The sequence below is a fragment of the Homo sapiens genome, chromosome 12, assembly GCF_000001405.40.
Source record: "Homo sapiens chromosome 12, GRCh38.p14 Primary Assembly".
NCBI lineage: Eukaryota > Metazoa > Chordata > Mammalia > Primates > Hominidae > Homo > Homo sapiens.
The window spans coordinates 94954352-94962225 of NC_000012.12; the positions used below are offsets into that span (position 1 = coordinate 94954352).

The window sequence follows — 7874 nt, forward strand, 5'->3', positions numbered from 1 at the left end:
TATGTCAATCATTTCAGGTCTGCAACAGGACTCTGTGTTCCCTAGATAAGGAGCAGAAGTTTATTGGGTACACCCATATGAGTCATGAACCAGGAAAACACACGTTCAGCCAGGAGCTGCAGGCAGACATTGGGAGGCCATATGACTGTCAGAGGTACTAGGCTCAGACCTTGACTTAGAACAGAGACATCAAAAACATGAGGCACACTCCCCATTCCATGTCCATGGCAGACATTACTAAGTGATCACTGCATACTTTCTTGCTGAGACCAGAGACAGCCTCAGAATCTCTCTTAGCACAGATCCCCATTATCTATCTCCTACTACCTATTTTGTTGTTGTTGCTGTTGTTGTTGTTGTTGTGAGACAGGGTCTCACTCTGTCTCCCAGGATAGAGTGCAGTGGCATGATCATGGCTCACTGCAGCCTTAACCTCCTGGGCTCAAGCGATCCTCCCGCCTCAGCCTCCCAAATCTACTACCTATTGAACAGAGTTGACCCACAAAATAAAACCTATTTGTTATTCCTGGTCCAGAACAAAAAGAAAAGGAGGCAAACTTCAGTTGGAATAAAATCTGCATTAATACCTGTCTTGAGAATGCACCAAAGGCACGTGGCATTGAACAGAGAGCTCTGGACAAGAAAAGAAGGGAGGATTTCCGGGCGCTGAAGCCAAGGAGGCATCCAGGGAGTTGTAGAAGATGACACTAGCCACGCTGAAATCTAGATGAGCTTTAATACTTCCTCATGTCTCTTTGGCCTTAATGGAATCAAGTGCCCATCCTGAAGCAATCACTGTAGTCAGATGCAAGGGCTTTGTTGATCGGCTTAAGTTAATCAGAGCCCACCCATGGAAAAGAAGGAAGGCATGTAAAGGAGTGATGAGAAGCAGCTGTGTGAGCTCAATGGGCAGAAAACCCGTGCATTACAGAGCAAGAAGAATTTGTAAGTAAGTAAAAAGGGAGCCATCAAAAGAAAGCAAGCTGGAAATCCGCTACAGTGTCTTTACAAGTGGCATCAGGTGGGCTGATGTGGAACTAAAGTCATTCCCACCTAAACCACATGACTCACAGTGGGGGTGAGGTGGCGCCTCACAGAAAACTGGGGTACTATTACCATGAAGAAGAGGAGAGGAGATTTAATGCCAAGGAGTAAATAACAGGCGGCATTCACAGTAAGGTAAGATTTCCAAGGACTGGAGTGAGAGAGCTCTACTCGAAGTACAGGTATCTACAAAGCAGGTGCAGAGTGGCCTGAAGCCCAAAGAAATCATTTCTGGAGACCAAATGGGAAGCACTTTCGTTCTCTGAGGAGACCTAGGGTATGAAACCGGCCATAAAAATGAGGAAGCAAATTTAGGTTGTAACTCAGAATGCTCCCAGGACTAGCAAATGTGCCGGCATGAATTTTCCTGGAGTAAGTGGTTAAGGCCAACCTTCCAATGTCATATGAGAAAGACACCCTAGAGCCACTCAGGTTTTTCTTACTGCACCTAGATTCATAATAGACCACAAAGACCCTAAGAGCAAATGATTTCTACAACCTGTGCAAACACCCCACGTTTGTAATTCTTCCCTGGATATTTCCTTACAGTGGTTAGCAACAAATTGCTGAAGTCAGAAAGCTCCAAAGTGCTTGCCTTCTAGGAAAGAAAGTAAGGAAACTGGCGGGGGGTTGTGCCCCATTTCTTTGTCATTCCTAGAAACAGGAAAGTTCCCAGGGATGAAGAGGGAGATGGCAACGTTGAAAAGAAAAGGATTCAGGGCTGGGCGTGGTGGTCCATGCCTGTAATCCCAGCACTTTGGGAGACAGTAGATCACTTGAGGTCAGGAGTTTGAGACCAGCCTGGCCAACATGGTGAAACCCCATCTCTACTAAAAAATACAAAAATTAGCCAGGTGTGGTGGCAGGTGCCTGTAATCCCAGCTACTTGGGAGCCTGAGGCAGGAGAATCGCTTGAACCCGGGAGGCAGATGCTGTGGTGAGCCAAGATAGCACCACTGAACTCCAGCCTTGGACCTATGGAAAAGAAGGAAGGTACATAGAGGAACGATGTATTTCTTTACAACTAGCATCAATTGGGTCATGTATCTTTTAGCTTTAAGCATTAAAAAACCTTCCCCAAACTGGCTTAGACAGAAGAACTTATTGGCTTACGAAAGAGAAAAATGGAGAATGAATTTTAGGCAGGGTTTGATCCAGCAACTCAAGGGCATCCACGTCTTCCCATCTCTACTCTCTTCATCCTAATGTTGGCTCTCATTATTGCAAGATGCTGACCAGTAGCCCCTGGGGCTGGGAGAAGGGGAAATGTGTCCTCATTAATATCAAAGAGAAGAGAAAGGAGTCTGTGTCTCAGAATTCTTGTCAAAGGACCTCGGATTGGACTAGCTTAAGTCTTGTGCCCGCCTTTGAGCCAATCGCTGTGTCCATGGGGAGGAAAATCAGGTTCTAACCAGGAGATGGCTATGGAGCCAGCCACATAAAACCTGCAGAGCTGAGAATGGTGGGAATGAGTGCTGGTTTCCCCAAGAAAATAGGATATTGTTATGATGAATGAAGAGAAATAGAGGCTGGACAGCCAACAACAGGTCTCCTAGCATCAGATGTACAGGGGAAGGTGGAATGTGTGTACTGCACATTCTAAATCAAAGGTAAAGTTAACAGCTGAAGTTTCTCCCTAGAAGTAACTTTTGCTTGAAAAAAAAAAAATGCAACAGGAAGAGAAGGCTCCCATGATGTGATTGTGACCATGCTCAGCTGGGTAGCAGCTGCTCTGCCAGATGAGACACAGGGATAGCCAATGCACATGAATAATCTCTGAAGATGGATCTGATACATGCACTTTACCTAACAGTCTTGGAAGGACTCATAGGATACACCCCAAGGAGTGAGTTAATGTTGTGTGCTTTATTTATTCACAAGGATGGTTTCCTCCTGAAACCCAGCACTGTGTTAACATTCTGCATGTCACTTTGGTTCAAGCAAGTCCCAGGAAGATGGATCACTATTTATTCACTGAAGAATTTCCCAAGTTAAAGAAGAGATACAATTAATAACGTTAGAGTAGCCCAGCTAGAAACTCTAACAAGTTATATAACATAGAAGACAGAGAATAATGAGAACAGTTATTCCTTTGTGCTTCAAAGAGAGTAGTAAAATAGACTCGATAGCATGAAAATTTTTCAATAGTTTTTTTTTTCCCCACTCTTGGCCTAATGGGCCTTGATTCATGCCAGGGGTCTATGGGGCTGAAAGAGCCAACATATCTATCTGAAATAGAGTTCTCCAACCATTATGTCAGATATAACAGTAGTTTTCAAAATCTTGTCTGATAATGAGGCGATTGTTTAAATGAGTTATGATATACACCTACAGTGAAATTGTACTCATTCATTTAAAATGATGCTGTAGGCTGGGCATGGTGGCTCATGCCTGTAATCCCAGCACTTTGGGAGGCCGAGGTGGGCATATCACTTGAGGTCAGGAGTTCGAGACCAGCCTGGCCAACATAGTGAAACCCCCTTCTCTACTAAAAATACAAAAAAATTAGCCAGTGTGGTGGCAGGTGCCTGTAATACCAGTTACTCAGGAGGCTGAGGCAGGAGAATCACTTGAACCTGGGAGTCAGAGGTTGCCGTGAGCTGAGATCATGTCACTGCACTCCAGCCTGGGCAACAGAGCAAGACTCCATCTCAAATAATAATAATAATGCTATAGATAAAAATGCATTAATTTTGCCTAATGTTTACAATTTATTACTTTTTTCTTTTTCTTTTTTTTGAAATGGAGTCTTGCTCTGTTGCTCAGGCTGGAGTTCAATGTCGCAATCTCAGCTCACTGCAACCTCCGCCTCCTGGGTTCAAGCGATTCTCCTGCCTCAACCTCCTGAGTAGCTGGGATTACAGGCATGTACCACCACACCCGGCTAATTTTGTATTTTTAGTAGAAACGGGGTTTCACCATGTTAGTCAGGCTGGTCTCGAACTCCTGACCTTGTCATCCACCCACCTCGGCCTCCCAAAGTGCTAGGATTACAGGCATGAGCCACCGCACCCGGCCACAATTTATTTATTATTGAGCGAGAAAAGCAGATTAGGAAACAACATGGAGAGGTTATAATCATACTTAACTAAAATATTAAAATATTTACATTTTACACAGAAAAACGAGAAGATATACTCTGAGGTATTAACAGTGGTTTTTTTTGGATGCTCTAATCATGAATATTCTTGAATCTTTTCTTGTTTATATTTTCTAAATTTTCTATGATGTACATGTATTGCTTTTGTAATAAGAAAAACACATCAGAGAGATTTTATTTTAAAATTATGCTTGCTGCATCTGTAAGTCTTTAATTGTGCTTATACTTTCCTCTTCAAAACTTTTGGGTGGCAGCTCATGCCTGTAATCCCAGCACTTTGGGAGGCTGAGGTGGGAAGATCATTTGAGGCCAGGAGCTGAAGACCAGCCTGGGTAACATAGTGAGACCTCCATCTCTACTGAAAACTTTAAAAATTAGCTGGGTATGGTGGTGTGCACCTGTAGTCCCAGCTACTCAGGAGGCTTAGGTGGGAGGATCACTTGAGCCCAGGACACAGTGGGCCATGATCGTGCAACTGCACTCCAGCCTGGGTAGCAGAATAAGACCATCTCTTAAAAAAAAAATGGCATTCTTTCTGTCAGCAGCGACAGTCATCTGTGGATTGATGTAGGGGAGTAAAAGGATATGCGCACGGAAAAATGAATGAATGAATAAACACAGCACCAATTAGAGCAGTGAAGGAAACTCAGGAATCCAGAGGCCAACCCCCAGTTCCCTTCATTCCATCTAGCTAACATCTAAATGAGATCCTGTTCCAGGCTATCCTCTTTCCAGTCACTAGAAGGGACAGTCCGCAGGAGGCATTTTAGTGCTTCCAGATCTGGAGATGGCGTTTTCTTGCTCTCAGGAGGGGCATCTTAAGAGTCTAGACTCTCAGACCCTTCTAAGGGGTCAGCCACCTCCAGCCTCTACCCCTTGAGGAATTTATCTTTTCATTGATCTCTAGATCCCTCCAGCCTCCCCAGGTGGGGCCACAGCTTGTCTCGGAAGGAATGCCATCCCTGCTGAACCTCAGGGGCTCCTTGACCTTCACCCTGTCTCAGTCACCTTCTCCAGCGTTGCCACCCCCACACAACCCTCATTAGTGGCCACCATCACCACTGCCGCCGTGCTGCAGCCCTGTTAGAGACGACTTCCCTCCTCTTCAGTCCTGAGCAAAGAGACAAGGAAACACCTTCTCAACAGCCTCGTGAGTCTAGAAACACAGAGGTCCCATTCACGGGGCTTTTCCCAGGTAGGGAGGAAGGCGTGGACTCATCAATCTTCCATCTCGGCAGCACCCCTTCCTCTTCTTGTTAACCACCCTGCTAGCTTGAGGGACAGAAAGTGACAAAAAAAGGAGGCGAAACAAACTGAAAGCCTGCAATTAGCTTAAATGAGCTATCCACTAGATGCTGAGCTGTAGTGGATTGTTGCGAAGGGCCCCATGTTGACAGGTTTGGTTTTTTGTTTTTTTTTTTAAATTTTTCAAGAATAAGCAGAAATCTAGATTCTTATGTATAGTCTCCCAGATTTTAAACATTGGTGACTCATTTTTTTTAAGACAAAAGTCTCTCTCTGATGCCCCGGCTGGAGTGCTGGAGTGCCGTGGCACCATCTCTCCAGTAGCTGGGATTACAGGTGCCCACCACCACACCCAGCTAATGTTTGTATTTTTAGGAGAGATGGGGTTTCACCATGTTAGCCAGGCTGGTCTCAAACTCCTGAATTCAAGTGATCCACGGCCTCAGCCTCCCAAAGTGCTGCAATTTCAGGCATGAACCACTGCACCTGGCTTCATTCTATTTTTTAATCCCAATATAAATTTGTACCCATTAGAAAATCTATTCAGCTGCTTTTTTTTTTTTTTTTTTTTTTTTTTTTAGACAGAGTCTTGCTCTGTTACCCAGGCTGGAGTGCAGTGGCACGATCTCTGCTCACTGCATTCTCCGCCTCCAGGGTTCAAGCAATTCTTCTGCCTCAGCCTCCTGAGTAGCTGGGACTACAGGCGCTCACCACCATGCCCGGCTAATTTTTGAATTTTTAGTAAAGACGGGGTTTCGCCATGTTGGCCAGGCTGGTCTCAAACTCCTGACCTCAAGTTATCTGCCCACCTTAGCCTCCCAAAGTGTTGGGATTACAGGCATGAGCCACTGTGCCTGGCCCAGCTGCTTCTATTTCAGAGAAATAATATGGCTTAAGAGAGAGACTTCTTTCTCTCCCACCTGAAAGAAGTCCAGAGGTGGGCAGTCCAGGGCTGCATGTGGCTCATGAGAGCCCTATGTCTGAATTACATGGCTTGGGTTTCTTTCTAGCAGTTTCTAGAATGCACTGGAGCTTCAATTCCAGATCAACCAGCTAAATGTCCCTGGGAACAGCCATTTATCTTTCTATGCCTCTGTTTGCTCATTTGTAAAATGAACAATAACAGCACCTCCCTCACAGGTTGGCTGTTGAGAATTAAATGAGATAATACACAAAAAGTTGTCAGCACAGAGCCTGGAACACAGCCCCAAAAGTGTAAGATTAAGTGACCCCATCTCCACTCTTTGATTACCTGGGTCATTATAAACTGTAACAACAAAGCAAAATCACTTGAGGTCAGGAGTTTGAGACCAGCCTGGCCAATATGGTGAAACCCCCATCTCTACTAAACATACAAAAATTAGCTGGGCCTGGTGGCATGCGCCTATAATCCCAGTTACTCGGGAGGCTGAGGCAGGAGAATTGCTTGAACATGGGAGGCAGAGATTGCAGTGAATCAAGATCGCGCCACTGCACTCCAGCCTGGGGGACAAAGTGAGACTCTGTCTCAAAAAAAGAAAAAAAAAAAAGAAATGGGAATCAGGAGCCAAAAGTTAATCTGTAAGAACATAAGCTCTACCCCTCCCTGAAGCTTTGGATAGATTGTTGGATTTTCTTCAACTGTGAAGGGGAGAGGGGCTTTCTGAGTCAATTTTATCTAGATCTAAGGAGCAGGAAGACCCCAAGTGACATTTGATTTGTATAGTTAATGCCTACCCTCCTTCTGTCCCCAACCACTTCTAGAGACTCTTGGCAAAATTGGATGGGAATTTTCTGACACTGCCTCTGCTTGTACAATACTGAGAAGTCAGGAAGAGCTTGAGTTGGCTGTAATTCTAAAGGGTGAATGGATGCTGATGGTGTTTCCTAGCAACAGCTGAAAAGAAATCAATGTCAAGTGATACAAGTTCCATGAGTAGAAGAAGCAAAATATCCACTGAAACATGGTGAGAAGTCACATGACCTAGGTACTGACTGTCAGGCCCAAACTGGCCATTGTAAGCTAATCTTGCTGTTAGGATGCTGTAAAGATGAGGCAAGAGCAAAGGGGTTGTAGGAAGCCTCATAAAAATGACCCCAAATCAAAATGTTCAATCAAAGCCCAGCTTTGGAGCAATGGCCTTAGCCAGAGAAAACCACTTAATTTGTAGATAACCAAAGGTCATAGAAGGTTGTCAAATAAATCCCTTTAATCTAATTATGAATGACATTTACCTCAATAAAGCCACATGGTATTAAATAAGACATTAATAATCATATCTCACAAGAATGGAAATGACTCTCATCCATTACCCATCTCATAAACTTAGAAAGCATTGATTTTTAGCCAAGAACCAACTGAAGAATACTAATACCCTACTGCATTAGTCAGGGTTGTTTTTGCTGCCAATGAGAGAAATTCAGCTGGAATTAAGCAAATTCAAGGGGACAGAGTAAGTCATAGAATCAAAGGAAGTCTCTCTCTCTCTCTCCTTCCTAGGGAGGC

General features: G+C 44.4%; 1 annotated feature.

Annotated features, from left to right (window-relative positions):
• Nucleotides 5492-5752: a silencer, noted in NCBI's record as "fragment chr12:95353619-95353879 (GRCh37/hg19 assembly coordinates)". NCBI's record gives its function as "represses an EF-1alpha promoter that drives an FKBP-Casp9 reporter gene in an ReSE screen in K562 erythroleukemia cells {active_cell/tissue: K562}" and the evidence as "EXISTENCE:reporter gene assay evidence [ECO:0000049][PMID:32094911]".